The sequence below is a fragment of the Homo sapiens genome, chromosome 1, assembly GCF_000001405.40.
Source record: "Homo sapiens chromosome 1, GRCh38.p14 Primary Assembly".
Taxonomy (NCBI): domain Eukaryota; kingdom Metazoa; phylum Chordata; class Mammalia; order Primates; family Hominidae; genus Homo; species Homo sapiens.
In genome coordinates this window covers 40,608,612-40,630,554 of record NC_000001.11, presented here as the reverse complement: position 1 = coordinate 40,630,554, position 21,943 = coordinate 40,608,612, and the positions used below count along the sequence as shown (strand labels likewise).

At 46.1% G+C, this 21,943-nt stretch overlaps 1 protein-coding gene across 3 annotated transcripts in view, besides 2 other annotated features; it reads left to right on the top strand.

Annotated features, from left to right (window-relative positions):
• Positions 1-9,875, top strand: part of RIMS3 (regulating synaptic membrane exocytosis 3) — a 71,387-nt gene extending 61,512 nt beyond the window's left edge. For all 3 annotated transcript variants that reach the window (XM_047435189.1, XM_047435184.1, NM_014747.3), the window contains 3 exons: positions 1,183-1,284; positions 1,606-1,745; positions 3,826-9,875. In XM_047435189.1, coding sequence (XP_047291145.1) covers positions 1,183-1,284; positions 1,606-1,745; positions 3,826-4,038 — 455 coding nt within the window. In that variant the 3' untranslated portion in view covers positions 4,039-9,875. The remainder of the gene's footprint in view (positions 1-1,182; positions 1,285-1,605; positions 1,746-3,825) is intronic.
• Positions 1,054-2,253: an enhancer, noted in NCBI's record as "CDK7 strongly-dependent group 2 enhancer chr1:41093974-41095173 (GRCh37/hg19 assembly coordinates)". NCBI's record gives its function as "activates an origin of replication core promoter dependent on BRD2, BRD4, P300/CBP, MED14 and CDK7 cofactors, with strong dependence on CDK7, by STARR-seq in HCT116 cells {active_cell/tissue: HCT116}" and the evidence as "EXISTENCE:reporter gene assay evidence [ECO:0000049][PMID:35650434]".
• Positions 18,160-18,219: a silencer, noted in NCBI's record as "silent region_730". NCBI's record gives its function as "represses an Ori minimal core promoter by ATAC-STARR-seq in GM12878 lymphoblastoid cells {active_cell/tissue: GM12878}" and the evidence as "EXISTENCE:reporter gene assay evidence [ECO:0000049][PMID:35858748]".

Sequence of the window (21,943 nt, the reverse complement as noted above, 5' to 3'; positions counted from 1 at the left end):
TGAAATTAGCAAATCCCCATCTTCCGTAGTACACAAATACAAACAATTTCATGATGGCTCAGATAATCTAAAAATGGGTGACTGAATTCAAAGTCTGGCCCATTTGATTCTTGTGGACCAGGCTTATGATTCTGCACCCCTGTAAAAGACTTCACTTTGTTCTGAGTGACTGACTACTACATAATTCCAAATTCTGCCAACCAATGTTGAACAAAACTAAGAGTTCCTAGAAATCAGGTAACTGACATAACTCCACACACAGACCTTGCCCCGGCTGGATAATCCATTCTGTGGGAGTACAGTGAAGATTTCTCAGCCGTCCACACCCAGAAAGTCTGCTGGCCTTCCCTCCCTCCACTGGTAATGCAGTAGTAGGCCCTTGTTGTCTGGTAGTGCCTCGTGTCCTGGGCAGGTTTTTAGCTCAGAGCCTTTTCAAACAGATGTTCTTTCTTTTCTTCTTTCTTTCTTTTTTTTTTTTTTTTTTGAGACGGAGTCTTCCTCGTCACCCAGGCCGGAGTGCTGTGGTGCAATCTTGGCCCACTACAACCTCCACTTCCTGGGTTCAAGTGATTCTCCTCAGCCTCCCAAGTAGCTGGGACTACAGGTGCACACCACCATGCCTGGCTAATTTTTTGTATTTTTAGTAGAGATGGGGTTTCACCATGTTAGCCAGAATGGTCTTGATCTCCTGACCTCATGATCTGCCCGCCTCTGCCTCCCAAAGTGTTGGGATTACAGGTGTGAGCCACTGCGCCCGGCCTCAAACGGATGTTCTTTTGACACAGATGTATGGGGAGGTGAAGAACAGCCACTGAGCCCACAGCCTCCCCTGTCTTCCTGACACAGGAAGCTCTGTCCTCAAGTTTGCTATTCTGCTCAGTAAAACAGAAGCCTCTCAGTTAGCCAGACACAAATGGGGGTTTGGCAGCCATCTGTTGTTACCCAGTCATGCCCCTGAAGATCATGCCCCTACCCCAACCCACCCCAAGGGACCTATCAAAGGGTCCCTCAGCTGCTTTAAAGTGGTCTTCCGAGAGCAGTTTTGGCCCATGTGGTTGGTGCCATCTTGTTCCCTTTCTAGTGATGATGTAGCCTCCTCCACAGGCTGGCATTCAGTACAGCAGCTGGCTGGCCTGCCCCTTGGTCTGGCCCTGCCTGGACTCACCCTCTTCTTCCTTTCAGGAGATGTGCACATTGCCATCATGGACCGGAGTGGCCAGCTGGAGGTGGAAGTGATTGAAGCTCGGGGCCTGACCCCCAAACCAGGCTCCAAATCCCTCCCAGGTGAGGGATTTTGGAAATGGGGTCCTGACAGGGAGGGGCATAGAGCCGAGCTCTGGGTCTAGCAGGTCCTCAGCTCCCACTGGCCTAAATCGGGATTCTTTACAGTGGAGTCACAGCTTGCCTGGAAGGCCAGTGACTAGGTGGGGGAGTAAGGGAGGATGGAGGAATCAGTACTTGAGTCACCTCTTCTGCCTGCTGTCCACTGGCTGGCTCATTCCACACATCCTGCTCACCTCCAAGATCACCTGGCAGTTAGGGGATGGGCAGGCCAAAGCTGTCTGTCCTGGACCCCTCCCTGTCATACATTCTCTCCTCCCTTAGCCACCTATATCAAGGTTTACCTGCTGGAGAATGGGGCCTGCTTGGCCAAGAAGAAGACAAAGATGACCAAGAAGACCTGTGATCCCCTGTACCAGCAGGCTCTGCTCTTTGACGAGGGACCCCAGGGCAAGGTGCTGCAGGTGGGTGTCACAGGGCAAGTAGGGCAGGGTGGACTCACAGACTGGAAGTTGTAATTTAAAGTTTTTCATTTATGATTCATCCTGTGCCAGGTGCTGTGGTAGGTGCATTAATTTGCGTTACTCATTTACTTTCACAACCCTGTGAGGTATTACTGTCCCCAGTTGATTCATAAGGAAACCAAGGTTTTGGGGGTAATCAAATTGCTCCCCAGGTTGCACAGCTGGTAGGTAGAACCAGGACACATGTGACCACTGCCTCCTCCTTCCCCTAGTGCTAATGTTCATTGCACATCAGTTCAGTGCCAAGCCTTGTGTTAGGTGCTTTCCAAACACGACCTCATTTCATCCTGCAGATGATCCTGTGGAGTAGGTGTGATTCTCTTCACTTTACGGAAACCGAGTCTCTTACAGATGAAGTCACTTGCTTGGGGTGAGCCCAGGCCAGGTGACTGTCATCCCAATTACTTGAGAGCAACAAAGGCCTTCTGCACACTTGGTATTGTTAGCCCTTCTCAACAGTCCTGGGAGGGAGGGATCTTCATGCTCGTTTCATAGATGAAGAACCTGAGGTCACGTGGGGATAAAGCACAGTGGTGGATCAGTCTCTGGGCTCAGTCCTAGGTTCAGATTCCAGCTCAGCACTCATTAGCCGCGGGTAGATGTGACTATTAAACAGAGGATTGCATGTAGGGAGCCTTACATAGGGCCTGCCACATAAACAGCTACTCACTAAGTATTAACAATCATGGTGGTGGCTGCTGATCTTGCCTGAGGCCATGGAGGTGAGAGAGAAGAGGCTAGAGCCAGGGGCTGTCTGGGCCATCCAACTTCTCATCTAGGGCTGCTCCTCTGGGCTGAGATGGTTCTGTGGCAAGGGGCCTTGGAGTTGCAAATTTAAACTGCAGAGCCAGACATGGTGGCTCACAACCATAATCCCAGAGACTCGGGAGACTGAGGCAGGAGGATCACTTGAGTCCAAGAGTTTGAGACCAGCCTGGCAACATAGCAAGATCCCATCTCTAAAACATGAAAAAAAAAAAATTATCTGGTCATGGTGGCACGTGCCAGTAATCCCAGCTACTCGAGGTGCTGAGGCAGGAGGATTGTTTGAGCCCAGGAGGTCAAGGCTGCAGTGAGCTATGATTATGCCACTGCACTCCAGCCTGGGTGACAGAATAAGATCCTGTCTCTTAAAAATTAAAAATAAAAAAAGAACTGCGGAACCCTAGGCTTTGGGGAGTGGGAAGAATAATCTTTGGTGTTTGCTTAGAAAAGGAATAACGGCCGGGCACAGTGGCTTACGCCTGTAATCCCAGCACTTTGGGAGGCCGAGGCGGGTAGATCACGAGGTCAGGAGATCAAGACCATCCTGGCTAACATGGTGAAACCCCGTCTCTACTAAAAATACAAAAAATTAGCCGGGTGTGGTGGCGGGCACCTGTAGTCCCAGCTACTCGGGAGGCTGAGGCAGGAGAATGGCATGAACCCAGGAGGTAGAGCTTGCAGTGAGCTGAGATTGCGCCACTGCACTCCAGCCTGGGCAACAGAGTGAGACTCCATCTCAAAAAATCTCCCAGTGGTGTGGCTGGAAACACTGAGGTCCAGTGAGGGCATGGAGCTTACACAAGTCCCACGGCAAGCCAGCAGCACAGCTAGAGCTATGGCCAAGTCCTGAACTCTCAGTTTGCCCCTTCCTGGGGAAGGCTGTTATCTGAAATGCTGGGAGGCTCTGGAGTCACACACCCAGGTCCTAATCCAAGCTCTGCCACAAGTTACTGTGCAACTTTAGGTTAGCTAATTAACCTTTCTGAGCTACAGTTTCCTTCATGGAAATAATGATACAGAGCACCCCTACCTACATGGCTTGTTATAACAATTGAAAGAAAGAATCTAGGTAAAATCCATAGGATCGTATCTAACACACCTCAAGTGCTCAGTAAATTATTGTGTGAAATCAGTCTTGAGTTCTGGCTCCCTCTGCTCCATCTGTGCCCTGCTGAAACGTGTAGGTTCCTAGGCCTGCTGCACAGTCCTGGAGTCAGGGAGGTGGCTCACTCCCTCCCTCTCTTCCTCCTGGCAGGTGATCGTCTGGGGAGACTATGGCCGCATGGACCACAAGTGCTTCATGGGCATGGCCCAGATCATGCTGGACGAGCTGGACCTCAGCGCCGCGGTCACCGGCTGGTACAAACTCTTCCCCACCTCCTCAGTGGCAGACTCCACACTCGGATCCCTCACCAGGCGCCTGTCCCAGTCTTCCCTGGAGAGTGCCACCAGCCCCTCATGCTCTTAAGGATGTCAGGAAGAGGCCAGGATGGTGGTGTGGGGAGGGGTGCCTGCTGGCCCCATGTCCTCCCCTGTACATAGTCTTCGTGTCTTTCTGGACCCCTTGTCCTGCTGCATGCCTGTTGGCTACTGGGCTCATCCCAGCTGGCAGTGGAGACTGTAGTGTGTGCGTGTGTGCGTGCGTGTGTGTGTGTGTGTACGTGACCACGTTCTATCTGTTCATTTGTCTGGGTATAGTCACTCCTGGTGATGATATGGGCTGAAATGTCTCCACGTCTCTTTGTGTCTTGTTGAAAAGAAACCCAAAGGAGTGTTGTGTGGACATGACTCACCCTGAGGAGTCTCCAGGGATGGAGGTGGGGCATGCGGCCACTGGTCGGTGCTGCCTGGTCCTGGCCTGGGGCAGAGCCTGTGTGTTCTTCACCTGTGCCTGCTCCTGGTGGTCTCTGCTTTGTTTTCTGTCTTGTCTTTTGTTCCACTCTTGACTCTCCCGGCTCTGCCACTGTTTTCTGAGAAATGTAGCATCCGCTGCAGCTGGCCACACTGAGGGCCCTCTGGGAACCCCACCCCACTGGAGCCGCTCCGGCAGCTCTTCCTGCCACTGAATGCGTTCTGCAGCATGTAGCATGCCCACCTAGCTCCCTGGCCAGGGCCCTGGGGAGGCAGAGGGTACCCAGGGGACTGAGGGCTTAGAAATGACTTTCTCTATGAGGCTGGAACCTCCTCCTTCTTCCAGTGAAGCACGAGGTCTTGGTTCCAGGGTTCCTGGCCAGGTGCCCCCTTAGCATTTGTTCTTCATCTCCTGTCTCTTCAAGCCTCCCCACTCCACCGTGCCGAAGGAGCTCTGCCAGTGGGCCTGGGCAGGCAGCCACAGAGGGCATGTTATCTGCTAAAGCAAACAGTCCTCCTGAGGCCCTGAGGGTGGCCCTGACCCCCTCAGGGCTCATTCCTGGTGGGCATGACTCGGTAAGGAGGTTCTGTGGGTAGGGCTGTTTGCTGGAATAAGGAGGGCTGAGGCTGAGTTGTTCCCCGCCACTGTTGAGGATCCCATCTGACATTTGGGGATTCACTGCATGAAGTTGTTCATTTGGGGCTCCAGTTTTTGTGCATTTCCAGACCAGGGTCCCTGTCTGGGAGCTCAGACTTAGCTGGGCTCCAGCAGCCTGGCTCCGGACTCTCGTCTGCCACCATCACCAGCTCTGTCTAAGCAATACTTACCCCTCCGGGCTTCCCTGCTTTCCTGTGCCCCACTGCTGCCCTCTGCAGAGCCATCTGCTCCAGGCACCCACCTGCCTCTGCTTGCTTTCTCACCCATGTCTGGTTGGAGCTTCTCACAGCCACTCAAACCCTGACTTGATTTGACAACTGGGCCCTGTTGGTGGAGACCAGTGCCTGAACTGGACCCTGTGAAATCTGTCCCGTGGGAATCCTGAAGTCTGACTCAGGAATGCCCAGACCTGTCCCTGTCCCTCCTCAGCTCTAGGGTGAAAGGCGAGAGGTTGCACAGGACATGGACAGAGCAGCCCTTGGGTTTGTATCTGGTAGGGGAGAAAGCAGCAGGACAGTGGAGGTGTGTGGAAGGCACTCTTTCCACCTCTCTCCAGGCATTATCCCCAGGTGCTGAAATGGCTGTGGCCCCAGCACCTGAGGCAGGGGTACGCTACCTGGGGTAGCAGTAGAAAGGTCTTGGGGTCTGAATGACTTGGGGCCTCCATTCATAACCAAAGTTGTAGGGGCATGGAGGCAGTGGCGCCTTATGGATAGGTCATCTCAGCCCAAAGGGCCTCCTTGGCTGGCATGGTTCTGTGTTACGTTGAAGCCAGAGTCTTATAACACCTCCCAAGAAAGATAGGGGAAGAAGCCAGAACCCCACCTGGCCTGCCCACAGGACAAGAAGTGGGTAAGGGCAGGAAGGAAATGAACGGAGTTAGCTCCCAGGCTCCTATCTCTGCCTGAGCCTCTATTCTTATATTATCAGAGAAAGGGACCATTGGGTGCATAGAGATGGGGAGGAGGCCACTGGGCTGAATTTTCTCTTTAGGCGGAAATGCTCTCCCCAGGCCCATTGCGTTCGTCAAGTTCTTGGAAATGGACAAAGGGCTCTGTCCTCCTCGACCCTAGTGGGGGATCAAGAAGGAAACTCCGTTGCAAAAGGGTATTTTAATCTCCTGTTTATGATATATTCACCTCTAGAGCAGTCACTGTCAGGGTGTTGCGAAAATACTCTACACCTTTGGGATGATAGGGTTGTTAGTGACCCACAGGACAGTATAGATGTTTGTGGATGTAGCACTGAGTGGTGATACCCAGACCAGCAGTCACCCCAGGAAGTGGGGGCTACCCATACCCTCATTCCTCTGGTGGGGAGCTGCCTGCAGAGAGGCCTGCCACTGGGGGTTCCAGGCCGTGGTGACCCTTGCCTCTGGGGAAGGGTTAGCACAGGGGAGGTTCTAGCTGGAGGAGGGGTCTGATGTGCTGGTAACTTGGGCTGACCTACCTACAGTCCCTGGCTGCCAAAACTGCTCAGCAGTTGGGCCACTCCACTATTCCACCTCTCTAAAAGAAGGTAATTTCCTCCCCAAATTGACCTTGGGGAATTATTCTTTTAACCCTTTGCACCAAATAAGTTACTCATCCCCACCTGGATTTTACCCCATGAGGGTAAAGTTGTGTGAGGCTGACACGTCTGTGTGATGCAGTGTGGCTGCACTTAAGGGTCTGTTTCTCAGCATCATGGATGCAGGGGCTTGTCTGAAAAGCCACTCTGGACCTAGCCTGTCCCAGAAGAGGAGAATGCACAAGTGTAACTCCTGGTTGTTTGCTGGGGTGGGGGAGCATCTGCTGTTTGAGGACGGGGGGTGGGGAAGGAAGGAACATGATCCCTCCAGAAGTCTCCCACCCTGGGGCCAACTCACTGCCATGTTCAGTGTCCCGGCTCCAAATGCCCCCTTGCCCAGATGAAACCCTGCAGTGGTTACAGGAATGGAGCTCTTTGTCATTCCACCTCCTCTGGTCAGGCGAGGTTCACTGTGCATATGGCAGAGACAGGAGTGGCCCTGCAGTGATGTTGGGTTGTGGGCAGGGACAGTGATGGATGACTCAGAGCGTCTGTCTTTGTATTTCTGCTCTGTTCATTCTGTCCCACTTTCTTCATAGACTCCTTTTCCCTGCAATGGGTTTTTGGTATGAAAAAGGCTCCAGTAAATGGAGCCAAGTCTTGGTTTGACAAGGGGAACTTGATCCTTCAGGGAAGAATCATCTCCAAAATGACTCCCCATCTGGTTTCTTCTACCACCCAATTCTACTAGGAAAGGAGCACTTAGGAGGCTCTTGGGATGCAGCAAGTCCCAGGCAATGCCAGCATTTCATGGGGGCTGAGGCAGAACCCAGGAGCTCCAAGAAAGGCCACCCATAGAGCTCATCCTCTGTGGAATCACTGCCGGTTAGAACACTGAGGTCAAGCCAGTCCTCCCATGGTCATGCCACCCACCAGGGAAGCATGCCTGATCTCTTCTTTACTGCCAGCCTTGAGGAGAGCAGAAGCCTCCATTTTTAAAGACAATAAAGACCTCCAAGGGTACTTCTTTGGAAATGAAATGTAGCACAATCTTAGCCTACGTTACCAGGAGCCCTGACATGCAACCAGGGTCCCTCTTCCATGCCCTGCTGCCCAGGAGTTGCTGAGCTCCTCTTCCCCTGGGGTTCCAGCCCTCCTAATACCTCATATTCCCCATCTTCCTCAGCCCAGAAAGCAATGGGGCTTTAGTGATGCTCCTCTTTTGTGTCTCTCTGGTTGCCTCTAGCACTGTGCAAACTCTGCAAGAAATTGCTGCCTTTGCTTGATGTTGTAGATGAGTTGCCCTCCACCTGGCTGGAGAGATGGCACATCATTCAGGGCCAGAAGGTTGTCCAGCAGTGTTTCTGCAGTGGCTGCAGGGAGATGGAAAAGAAGAGCCCTGCTTCCCTGCCTCCTCCTACCTTTCTCTTCCACTCCTCAGAGTTTTCTTCTCCAGTATCCTGACATGTAAAGAGATTCTTTAAAATGCTGCTTCTTCTACTGGACTGTCTTTCACTGAGTAGTCAGGGAGGAGATGAAAATGTGGACACATCCCCCCGCCTTCTCCCTCAACCTTTTCACTCACGTCAGAAGAGGTTGGGGCAAAACAAAACAAGCATGATTGAAGAGCAGGGGAAGCCCACACAATCAGGTGAGCCCTGATGGGGGCTGGACTGGCCTGGTCTGGCTGGGAAAGGATTCTTTTAAAAGCGTGCCTGAGCATCTCAGAGCAATGTCAGTGATGCCAAAGAGAGCAACTTGGCCTCCTTGGGCACCAACTCTGATGGCTGAGTTGCACAAACGTGGCTCAGATGTTGGCATGCCCGATGGTGGGACCTTGTTCTCTGATAAAGGGCTTAATCTTTCCATGTAGCAAAGCAACTTTCCCTCCCTCCCCTCCCCCCGAACCCTGAGCTTGGGCTTGTGTGGGCCCAGCATGGCTGTGCCTGTGAGGGAAGCCACATCAGTGAGAGAAAGTTGCATTCTCTCAGGGGCCTAGATTGGCTTGGGGCAGGTGCTTGTTGAAAAGCATGAGTGTTTCTGCTTTGGGAAACCCTTCCAGGGCTCTGGTTGGAAACTTGGCCAGTAAGGACAGGGCCTTGGGCCTCCCAAGGAGTTCACAATGATGCCAGGAAGGGTCCCTGAGCCTGGGTTCCAGTCAGCTTGGCTAACAGAATGGGGCTTGGGAATTCCAGGGGCAACTGAGCATCCACCCCATTAGCCAGTGATCTGGACAGGGACAGCTGGCTACAGGGAATCAAAGGCTGTTCTGTACAGTTTTACCAGAAACTGTGACCTTGGGTAAGGCTCCTCACTTTTCTGGGCCTCAACTTCCTCATCTGCAAAATCAGAGCATTAGCTGCTCTCCCCATGATTCCCTCCCAGTTTTAATTAAAAGTCTCTGATCTGGAGCACATGAGGGTTGCGAGCCTGGTGCACCTGGTTCCTGTCTCCGTGGGCTGGTTTCCTTCAGCCCCTGATGCCCAGGCTGGGTGCAGGCTCTCATCTGGTCCATGCCCAGATGCTGCCTCAGACAAGAACTCTGGGAATCCTAACAGACTCTGCTTTCCTCTCTTCGTGGTTTGTCCTCCCTCTTTTATTCTTGTGTAATGATGAGACATAATTAAGGGTCATCTACAATGGACAATTTTCAAGGTGCTGATGTGATGTCACAACCTCCGCTACATCCTGAGTAAGTCAGTGTCCCCAACAGCAGATGAGGCTGGGTCTTTCCTCATTTCTGCTTCTGGGATGACATCAGTGGGAGAGTTGAAGATCTGAGAATTCTAAAGGAAATGTTCTCTGATGGGAGGAGAGAGGGAACTTATTTCCCTTCAAAGTAGTTTGCTTCTTAAGACCACTCCTCCCTCCAGAATGTCTTTAACCAGACATCATTTCAGAAGGTGGGGCAGCTGCTTCCTTAGGAAGAGTGGGCCTGATAGCTCAACCAACTCCTTTAGCATGTAAACTCACAGAAGGCAAGAACCCCTTTTTTTAGACTTTCCAAATGCATCCTGCAAAGAGAGAGATAGCTGATAGGGACTGACAAGCACACTGTTTAGATAAGAAGCAATTAGCCTTTTATATCTGTGCTCTATACATTTTCTATGTGCAGCATCTTTCCTAACTTGTTGTGGTTCCCGGGTGGCAGGTGCACAGCTGGGAGGGACTGCCGGCTGTTTCGTACAACATTCTTGCCAATTCCCTTGAGGAGAAAATTCTTCACATGGCTTCTGCATGTACAGTATTTGGGCAGCAAAACATGATTAAAGTCAGTTTGAAAATGGTTTCATGTGTTGCTTTCTGTAGATGGTTCTTCATTCTAGAAGGAAGAAAACAGGGTTCCAGGTGGCTACAAAGAGGAGGAGGATGCCTTGGTTGAGAGGCAGGGGAGAGCAGTACATTTCAGAAAAAGAGCATGAAAGATATGGCCTGGGCCTCTGACTCCTGTTTGAGAACTCTATGGTCACAGCAGTGTTCTTGAGCCATGAAATCTGACTGGTCCAGGCAGCTTCCTGGCTCTGTCTCCCCGGTCCTCTGCTTCCAGGCCCTCAAAGCCTTCTACTTCCATAGACTCCACAAGGGATATCCAACGACAGAGGAAGGTAAGATGGAGCTAAGGCCGCAGCTGTCGACCCACTGTTCCTTTCTTTCTGAGCTTTTGGGTCCAGCAGCTCTGCTCAGGCATTTGGCTTTGCTTATTGCAGCCACACCTGATACCAGCAGTAAACATAGCGGTTGACTTCTATGTGCTGCACCCTCCATCAGTCACTGATGCCTGGAGCACCCATTCCTTTCCCTGTCTCCTGGTGGAGCAGAACAGTTTGTTAATATTTAGTCATTTCTGGGCAGATCCATTGTCCTCCTAGGGTTGGGTTTGGGGGGTACAGAAGATGGATAAAAGAAGTGTGGCATCATCATGGCATGTGCTTGCTGGCACAAGGCTGGCACCCTCCTCCCAAGAGCCCTCCAGGTTACCTCCACTGCATTGTCTCTGGCCCTTGGCCTTGCAGTTCCCATGAGCACCATCTCTTGAAGGAAGGATCATAAGATCAATATGTGAGCTCTGGGCCCCCCCAGGATTCTGTCTTTTCCCTCTTTCCCACTGCTGCTCTCTCCCTGAGACATGGCTTATACTCTCATGAGTTTAAGAACTTCTATGCTTCTATCCAGCAATTCCTTCCAATAACAACTGCACCCTCCCCCACCCACCCCCTAAAAAACAAAAAGCAGACAACAAAAACTGAGATCCAAAGAAATTCTAAAGGATGTTCTTCAGATAGAACAAACATATCTAAGAACAATGCCTGGAACACAATCAATCCTACATGTTTGTTATTAAGGGAAATGATCCTGGATGGAGAGGCTGAAATACAAGAAGGAAAACTGAGCAAAGTAATAGGTTTTAAAATATTAGTAAAATATAGGCCAGGTACTGTGGCTTACGTATGTAATCCCAGCACTTTGGGAGGCTGAGGCAAGAAGATCACTTGAGGCCAGTAGTTCAAAACTGGCAAGGGCAACATAGTGAGAACTCATCTCTACCAAAAATTTAAAAATTGGCCAGACATGGTGGCACATGCCAGTAGTCTTAGCTACTTGGGAGGCTGAGGCAGGAGGATTGCTTGAGCCCAGGAGTTCAAGGGTTCAGTGAGCTATGATTGTGCCAGTGCACTCCAGCCTGAGTGACAGAGCAAGTCGTTTATTGTCTCTTTAAAAAATTTAGTAAAGCATCCTGCCTCACAATGACTTTCCTATTGTCTTTCATGTGTCATTCCAACTTTTCTAGTCCATACCACGGTGCCTTGCAAAAACACATGAATAAAGCAATAACATCTGATTGATTGTTAAGCTATCAAAAAACCCCAGTATCAATTATTAGGACTAATAAGAGCATTCAGCAAGGTTGCTGGCTATGAGATAACCCTACAAAAATCAATTGCATTTTTCTATAACAGCCAAAACCAATGAAAAATAAGTATGAGTTATTATCCACAATAACAATAAAAGTCATTAAACATCTAGGGACTATTTAAGAATATGTGATGCCTCTATGGAGATAACTTTCAAATTCTAATAAAAGAGTTAGATAATCTCGGCCAGGCATGGTGGCTCACGCCTGTAATCCCGGCACTTTGGGAGGCTGAGGCGGGCGGATCACGAGGTCAAGAGATCAAGACCATCCTGGCTAACATGGTGAAACCCCATCTCTACTAAAAAAACAAAAAATTAGCTGGGTGTGGTAGCGGGCGCCTGTAGCCCCAGCTACTCGGGAGCCTGAGGCAGGAGAATGGCATAAAACCAGGAGGCGGAGTTTGCAGTGAGCTGAGATCATGCCACTGCACTCCATCCTGGGTGACAGTGTGAGACTCCGTCTAAAAAAATAAAAATAAAAAGACAATAACAGGTGGTGGTGAGAATATGGAGAAATTGGAAACTTTTGGAAATGTAGAATGATGTAGCCACTATGGAAACCAGTTTGACAGTCCTCAAAAGGTTAAACGTACAGTTGCCATAAGACCTAGCAATTCTTCTCCTAAGTATATACAGAAGATAATTGAAAACATATGTCCACACAAAAGCTTGTACATGAATGTTCCTAGCAGTATTATTCATTATACCCAAAAAGTGGAAATATCCCAAATGTGTATCACCTGTTGAATGGCTAAACACATGGTATGTCCATACAATGTAATATTATTTAGCAATAAAAAGGAAAGAAGTACTGATACATGCTACAACATGGATGGCCTTGAAAACATTTTGCTAAGCAAAAAAAGCCAGTCACAAAAAAATCATATATTGTATGATTCCATTTATAGGAAATGTCCATAAAAGGCAAATCTATAGAGACAAAAAGTAGATTAGTGATTGCTTGGGGCTGGGGATGAGTTGAGAGAATTTGTTGCCATAATTTTTCACTTTAAAACATATTAAAGCAAATTATTCAGGCTGAAGGAAAATGATACCAAATGGAATTCAGACCTATACAAAAGAATGAAGAGCACCAGAAATACATGTGTAAATATAAAATACTTTTTATTTTCTTAGAAGATAATTGCTTTGAGCAAAAACAAACAAATAAAAAACAACAACCATTTATTTTGGGGTGAATAACTTATGTAGAAGAAAACTGTATGGTAACAATAACATAAGGAATGGGACAGGAAAAACAGAAGTATACTATGTTTTTACATTGTATTTGAAGTTACATATAATATTGAAAGGTAGACTGTGGTTAAAATGCACAAACACTAGAAATAAAAAGAAAAAAATAAACAATTAGTCAAACAATGGAGATAAGTTGCAATACTAAAAATATACAATCTAAGAGTAGGTAGGAAAAGCAGAAAAAAGGAACAAAGAATGATAACACAAATGGAAAACAAGGAGAAAAGCATGTGATCATCTCGATAGATGCATAAAAAGAATTTGACCAGGCCAGGTGCGGGCCTCCCAGCACTTTGGGAGGCTGAGGCGGGCGGATCACAAGGTCAGGAGATCGAGACCATCCTGGCTAGCACAGTGAAACCCTGTCTCTACTAAAAATACAAAAAATTAGCCAGGCATGGTGGCAGGAGCCTGTAGTCCCAGCTACTCGGCAGGCTGAGACAGGAGAATTGCTTGAACCTGGGAGGCGGAGGTTGCAGTAAGCTGGCCACTGCACTCCAGCCTGGGCGAAACTCCATCTCAAAAAAAAAAAAAAAAAAAAAAAAAAAAAAAAGAATTTGACCAAATTCAATACTCATTTATAATGAAAAAAAAAAAAAAAAACTCTTGACAAATAGAAATAGAAAAAACTTCCTTAACCCCCAAAAGGGCATTTATGAAAAACTTAGAGCTAACGTGATACATAATGATGAAAACTGGACACTTTCCCCCTAAGATCAGGAATAAGAAAAGAATGTCTGCTTTTACTATTTCTATTCAACATTGTACTGGCAGTCTTAGTCAATATGGTAATGGGGTATAAGAGATAAATAAAAGGTATATAGATTCACACAGAAGTAAAGTTGCCTTTATTAACAGATGGCTTGATTGTGTACACAGAAACGTCTAAGGGAAAGAAACTAAAATAAATTTGTCAAAGACTCAGGAAATGAAGCCAATAAGCAAATATCAATGTTATTTCTATATACTATTAAAAATAACTTTAGAAAATAACATTTAAAAGCAATAATTTTTACACTAGCATGTAAAAACATGAATAACTTAGGGGTAAATTTAACAAAATCTAAGACCTATACACTGGAAAATAGTAAGCACTGCTGAGAGAAATTAAAGATCTAAAGAGTTAACTTTATGGAGAGTTATACCATGTTCATGGACTTAAAAAAACAATATTGTTAAGCTGTCAGTTCTACCCAAATTGATCCCTAGATACAATGCACTTTCCATAAAAATCTCAGCAGGCTTTTTGTAGAAATTGACATGCTGATACTAAAATATATTTGGAATACAAAAGACCTTCAATAGTAAAAACAATTTTGAAAAAGGAGAACCAAGTTGAAAGACTTATGCTACCTGATGGCAAGACTTATTATAAAGTAACAATGGTATTGGCCTAAGAATAGACATTATATCAATAGAACAGAACAGAGATTGCTGAAATCGATTAATAGATCAATTGATTTCCAACAAAGATGCCAAAGTAATTTTTTCTTTTCTTTTCTTTTTTCTTTTTTGAGACAGAGTCTTGCTCTGTCACCCAGGCTGGAGTGCAGTGGCATGATCTCAGCTCACTGCAACCTCCGCCTCTCAGGTTCAAGCGATTCTCCTGCCTCAGCCTCCTGAGTAGCTGGGATTACAGACATGTGCCACCACGCCCGGCTAATTTTTGTATTTTTAGTAGAGACGGGGTTTCACCATGTTGGCCAGGCTGGTCTCGAACTCCTGACCTCAGGTGATCCACCCGCCTCCACCTCCCAATGTGCTGAGATTACACGTGTGAGCCACTGCACTCGGCCCAATAATCTTTTCATCAAATGGTGCAGCAACAGGATATTTAGATGGAAAAATACAGACCTTGATCCTACTTTACACTATGTACAAAAACGAACCCCATAGACCTAAACATAAAAGCTAAAATTAGAAAACTCCTAGAATAAAATATAGGAAAACATTTTCACAACTTTATGACAGACAATAATTTCTGAGAATATAAAAAGCACTGACCCTAAAATAAAATTAAAAAGATATATTGGATATCATAAATATTAATTTTATTCCCTTTTTGAAATATACCATTTAAGACTCATAACAAGATGACAATAACAAGACAACTGAAGTAAAAAGATTTGAACAGACAATCACAAGAGGAGATATACATAAGCACATGAAAGGATACTCATCATCATTAGCCATCAGGAAACTGCATATCCACAGAATGCCTAAAATTAATGACTGGCAATATTAAGTGTTGGCAAGTATATGGAGCAGCATTTTTGATGGAAATATAAAATTGTGCAACAATTTTGGGAAAGGATTGACAATTTCTTATAATGGTAAACATGTACTTGTCACATGACCCAGAAGTTCCACTCCTAGGTGTTTATTAGAAAAATGAAAACATATTTCTGCACAAAGACAAGAATGTTTATGGCAGCTTCTTTATAAATCATATAGTCAAGATTTATAAAGAACTCATACAACTCAATAGCAAGAAAACATATAACCCTTCATTCACAATAGCCCCAAATTGGAAACAATACAAATGTCTAATACATCTGTTAGGGTTCAATCAGAATATAGAAACCACACAGTAATTTGAAGAAAATTTTAATATAAAAATTATTAACAGGATTTTCACAAGCAATAGAATGAAACTGGACCTTTATCTTACACCAGGCAAAAAATTCAACTCAAAATGAGTAAAAGCCCTAAATGTAAGATCTGAAACCGTAAAACTCCTAGAAGAAAACATAAGAGAAAGTCTCCTTGACATTAGTCTTGGCAGTGATTTCTTGGATGTCACACCAAAAGCTCAGGCTACAAAAGCAAAAACAAATAAATGGGACTATTTAAAACTGAAAGCCTTCTGCACAGCAAAGTAAACAATCAACAAAAGGAAATGACAACCTACAGATTGAGAAAAATATTTGGAAACCACATATCATATAAAGGGTTAATATCCAAGCTTTATAAATAACTCATACAACCAGGCCGGGCGAGGTGGCTCACACCTGTAATCTCAGCATTTTGGGAGGCCAAGACGGGTGGATCACCTGAGGTCAGGAGTTCAATACCAGCCTGGCCAACATGGTGAAACCCCGTCTCTACTAAAAATACAAAAATTAGCCAGGCATGGTGATGCGTTCCTGTAATCCCAGCTACTTGGGAGGCTGAGGCAGAAGGATCACTTGAACCTGGGAGGTGGAGGCTGCAGTGAGCCAAGATTGCGCCACTGCACTCCAGCCTGGGTGACAGCAAGACTCCATCTCAAAAAAAAAAAAGGGGGGGGGGCAAAAAATCTGAATAGCCATTTCTCCAAAGATGACATAATAATGGCTACCAAGTGCATGAACAGGTGCTCAACATCACTAATCATCAAGGAAATACAAATCAGAAACATTATGAGATAGCACCTCACATGTGTTAGGATAGCTGTTATCAGAAACATAAGAGATAACAAGCGTTGGCAAGGGTGTGGAGAAAAGGGAACGGTTATACACGGTTGAATGTAAATTGGTACAGCCATTATGGAAAACAGTAAGGAAGTTCCTAAAGAAGTTAAAATATAACCATATGATCCCAATTAAAATATACCATATGGGCCGGGTGCGGTGGCTCACGCCTGTAATCCCAGCACTTTGGGAGGCCAAGGCAGGCGGATCACGAGGTCAGGAGATCGAGACCATCCTGGCTAATACGGTGAAACCCCGTCTCTATTAAAAACACAAAAAATTAGCCAGGCGTGGTGGCGGGCGCCTGTAGTCCCAGCTACTCGGGAGGCTGAGGCAGGACAATGGCGTGAACCCAGGAGGTAGAGCTTGCAGTGAGCTGAGATTGCGCCACTGCACTCCAGCCTGGGCGACAGAGCGAGACTCCATCTCAAAAACAAAACAAAACAAAACAAAACAAACAAACAAACAAAAAACCATATGACCCAGCAATCCCTCTTCTGCATATAAACCCAAAGGAAATAAAATCACCACCTCATAAAGGTATCTGAACTCCCATGTTTATTTCAGCATTATTCACATTATTTTACCTATAAGATAATGTTCTATATCTTACAGGTAAGATATAGAAACAATGATGAATGGATAAACATATATATATATATAACTGATATATATAAACCAGTTATATATATATATAACAGTTATATATATGTTATATATAATGGAATAATGGAATATTATTCGCCTTTAAAAAGGAGGAGATCCTGCTATTTGCCACAACGTGAAAGAAGTTGAAGGACATTATGCTAAATAAGCCAGACACGGAAAGAAAAATATATGATCTTACTTATATGTGGGATCTAAAAAAAAGTCAAATATACAGAGATAGAGAATAAAACGGTGGTTACCAGGGTCGGTGTGGTGGGGAAGGAAATGGGGAATGTAGGTCGAAGGATACAAAGCAGCAGATATGTAGGATGAACAAATGGAAAGACCTAAGGTACAACATAAGGACTCTAGTTAATAATAGTGTATTTTATTCAGGATTTTTGCTAAATGAGTAGATTATAGCTGTTCTTGCCACAGGGGAGAAAATGAGTAACTATGTGAGATGATGGATATGTTAATTTGTTCCACTATAGTAACCATGTTACTATATATATGCATCTTATATAACATCATGTTGTGTACCTTACATATATATTAAAATTTATTTTTTTAAAAAAAGATTAATTCTAGCAGAGGAGTAATTCTGAAGGTGTAAACGGAACTCTAAAGACTATCCTAAGGCTGAAGGAGAGTGCCCAAGAAAGGAACACATTGGAAGAAGGCCCTCTCCTTAAAGCTGGGATTCGAACCTTGTTGGAAAACGTGTAATGAATGTGATGTGAAGAAGTGTGCTGGGTTTCCCAGCCCAAACCTGGTCTAGAGTCTCAGGTAAGCAAGGCAACACCCCCAGGTACAGGCAGGCAAGGCTGGCAGGCGTATGCACAGGGAGAGTCAGAATCAGGAACCTACTCGCAGGCAGAGTCATCGAAGGCCTGGGAGGCATGGAAACCCTGCAGGGAGCTGGCGGGCCATGCTGGCAGCTGGCACACAGGGAGTCAGAGGGCCAGGGCCGCTCACCTCCGTACAAAGCCTGAGATGGGTAGAGTCCATGTGGGGAGGGCTGTGGGAGGTGGGCACAGGGCTACGGCTGGGGCTGTGAGCTCAGAGGCATGAACGTGCTGGGGACGCACAGCCAGGGCAGAACCCTAATGGATGTCCCCATGCATTTGCCCCTCGCAGCAGCGCACTAGTGGAGAAAGAGAAGCAAAACTTCTCTTTCTCAGTGAAGCACACTGGCTCCAGAAGTTTCTCCCTCCAGCAGTGTCCTACCAGCGCCATCTACTGACAAAACCCAACACTGTTCTCACTGCAAAGGAGACATGGTTAATGGGGCTATGCCACTATGCAGAACAGGCAATGAAGGGTAGATTTGGAGTTGAAAGGCCACACATTGAAACTGTCACATCTAGCAATAGGTGCAGTGAAAAAACAATCTGTGGTGTATTACAATAATGCGATAATACTCAGCACTAAGGGGAACGAATTCTGATAATACAGTTAGTCCTCCATACCCACAGGTTCTGCATCCGCAGATTCAATCAACCACAGATAAAAAATGTTTTAAAAAATAAACATACAATAAATATAATACAAATAAGTCTAGGTGGGTTGGCTCATGCCTGTAATCCCAGCACTTTGGGAGGCCGAGGTGGGCAGATCACTTGAGGTCAGGAGTTCGAGACCAGCCTGGCCAATATGGCAAAACCCTGTCTCTACTAAAAATACAAAAATTAGCTGGGCATGGTGGTCCACCCTGGAATCGGGAGACTGAGGCAGGAGAATCTCTTGAACCTGGGAGGCAAAGGTTGCAGTGAGCCGAGATTGCACCACTGCACTCCAGCCTGGGTGACAGAGGAGACTCAGTCTCAAAAACAAAACAAAACAAAACAAGACAAAAATAATACAAATAAAAACAATACAGTATAACAACTATTTACATAGAATTTACATTATATTAGGTATTATAAATAATCAAGTGATGATTTAAAGTATACAGGAGGATGTGTGTAGGTTACATGTAATACTATGACATTTTACTTAAAGGACTTGAGCATCCAAGCATTTTGTTATCTGTGGCTTCCGAGAACCAATCCTCTGCACTGCAGGCAACAAAATAAATGTATTGCAAAAACAATACTGAATGAAAGATATCAAGCACAAAAGGTAAATACTGTTAAATGACATTCTAGAACACACAAGACTAACCTATAGGGACAAAATGTCAGTTAGTGTTGCCTGAGGATTTGGGGTGGGTGGAGATATTGACTACAAAGGATCACAAAGGAGTTTGGGGGGATGATGAAAATGTTCTGTATCTGAATGGTGGCTCCATAGGTGTATACATTTATCAGAATACATCAAACTGTACCCTTTAAATGGGTGCATTCTATTTCATGTAAATTATACCTCAGTTATGTCTGTTTTTAAAATATCATCTGAGACTGGGCATGGTGGCTCACATCTGTAATCCCAGCAATTTGGGAGGCTGAGGCAGGAGGATTGCTTGAGGATAGGAGTTCAAGATGAACCTGGGTGACACAGTGAGATCCTATCTCTACAAAAAAATTTAAAAATATATTGTGGATTCCTAATTAGGGAAAATGAATCAGGCTGGCAGGACAGAGGGAAGGTTAAAAGAAAAAGCAGATAAGCTATACATCTGCCTTTCTTCATGGCCCAGCGCAAATAACTCACAATCTTCCTGCGCCCAACTTATCACCAGACACCTGCACGTGAGCTCTCTGTAACCAGGGCATTATCAATACTGTACAAAGCCCTCTTCAGCACACAGCACCATCCTATAAAATCCCCAGTAAGCCTTTGTCTCTTTGCAGTCAGCTCCTTTCTGGCTGGCCTGCCCATTGTACCCTTGCAACATATTTTCATACTTTCTCTAATAAATCTGCCTTTTTTACCTACAACTATCTTGGTAAATTCTTCTTACGATCCGTGCCACCAGCCCAGTCACTAATCACCTACAACATATATCATCTGAAAATCAGATGTCTACAGTTGTGTAGGATCTAGACCACCATCACCTCCCAAACCCCATTACCTTATAAATTCCAGGGCAGGGGTCTTTTGATCATAGCTTGGATGGAAACACTGGAAACCTTCCCTCTTCCTGCGGGAGGTGGATTCTCAAAGTGGGAAAGCCTTGGTGGTCAGAATAGATTTTCGTGGATTATTCCTGGGATATGAATGAGATGGTACAGAAGCAGGATATTTCCCTGACCCCTTCATGGGACTCGTGACAGGGATGCCTTGTTTACTCAGCCTGCCACTCTCAACTCCTCACAGGAGGGAGCGTGCAAGTGAACCAGGTGGAACTGGAGTGCATGAGTGGACTAGAGTGGCTGAAACTGGCCGGCCACTCTGGCACCGGCAGGAGCAAATTCCATGCAGGCCCCATGGCAGCTTCCAGGTGGGGCTGCCTGTGACCCCTGAAGCCCCAGGGTGCGTGTTGTAGTGCTCTTTTAGCTCTGCTGTCTGTGGATGGCTTAAGTGTTAACAGCTCAGTGGGCCCTTTGCCTTGTCACATGGGGCGGCTGCCCTCCGCCAGGGAGAGCAAAGGGCCAGTGTGGCAGCCTTTTGTATCTGCATTCGTGGCTCCCAAGCTCTTGTCCAGTATCCAGGAAAAATGAGGTCTCACGAAGGAATTGAAGGACGGTAAATGTGGGGGATTTTATTGCCAATGAAAGTGGCTCTCAGTGGGAAGGGAAGCTGAAAAGGGGATGGAGGATTGGTAATCTTCCCCTGGAGTCCAGCTGTCTCCAGCCAGATTCTTCTCTGAAATTATACCATCAAGCTGTCTCTCTGAAGTCAAGCTGCTTCTCTCCAACATCCAGCCATAGTCCCATATACTGGCTGAGTCTGGGGTTTTTATATGCACAGGATGGAGCAGGGCAGGGCCATGGTGGTTTAGGAAAAGGCAACATTTGAGCAGGAAAACTGGGATATAAGTTCTCACTTTTGGCTGTGGTTTAGGCTTTTCAGTTTGAGGGTAGGGTTTCTCTGGGGACCCTTTTCTGCCTAGAATTTCTCTGCTTCCTGTCCCTGTCAGTACCTGGATATTACTCAAGAAAGTCAAGTGATGGTCTTTCTAAGGGTAGGCCCCTGCCTTCTTCTCTAACTCAGCCCTCCAATCCAGTGCTCCCAGTGGTGGGTACCTACCCCAGAGAACTCTCACATGTATCAGAAGTGGGCATGTATACAGTTCAGAACTGTCCATCATGGTCAGAGTTGAAGGCAACCTAGGTTGTGTCCACCACTGGGGAAATGAATGAGGACAATGTGGAGGAGACACCCTAAGGATGCAGTGCAGAAGTTAGAAGCACAGATGACATATGCACACATCGACAGATCTTAAAAATAGAGTGCTGGGTGACAAGATAGAAAAAATGAAATCTAGAGCATAATATGTGCAAAAACTAAAGATATGGCCACAAAATGACACCACATATTTTACAAGAATAGATACAAATTCATATCAAAATATTTTGAGAGTTTTTTTAAAAGAAGGTGGTAGAAGTGAGAAATGGGTATGAAAGTGAGTAAATAAATAAAACAAAACAGAGGCCTTGCCCAGGCCAATGATAAAAGTAGGTTGTGAACTGGGGGAAATGATAAGCTCAGTCCTCTGCTCCTAAGGGGTTAAAATAAGAATGTTTCCTCATCCCAAGATTAAATGTGTTCTATGGCCAAATGGACTTTATTGGATAAATATGACATAGAAGTAAATCAAGCGATCCAAATCGAGTTGTCTGGATTATATAAAAGGACAGGGAAAACACAACTTCTTAGGAGTATTCCATTCACACCACCATCAGGCTACAGCTGCCTGACATTTCCAGGCTGGTCCCTCTGTATTGGGTAATGGTAATGAAACCGATCCCACAGTCCTATAGACAATTCTTTGAGATAAACATAGAAATTGGGCCAGGCGCAGTGGCTCATGCTTGTAATCCCAGCACTTCGGGAGGCCAAGGTGGGCGGATCACGAGGTTAGGAGATCGAGGCCATCCTGGCTAACAAGGTGAAACCCCACCTCTACCAAAAATACAAAAAATTAGCTGGGCGTGGTGGTGTGCACCTGTAGTCCCAGCTACTTGGGATGCCAAGGC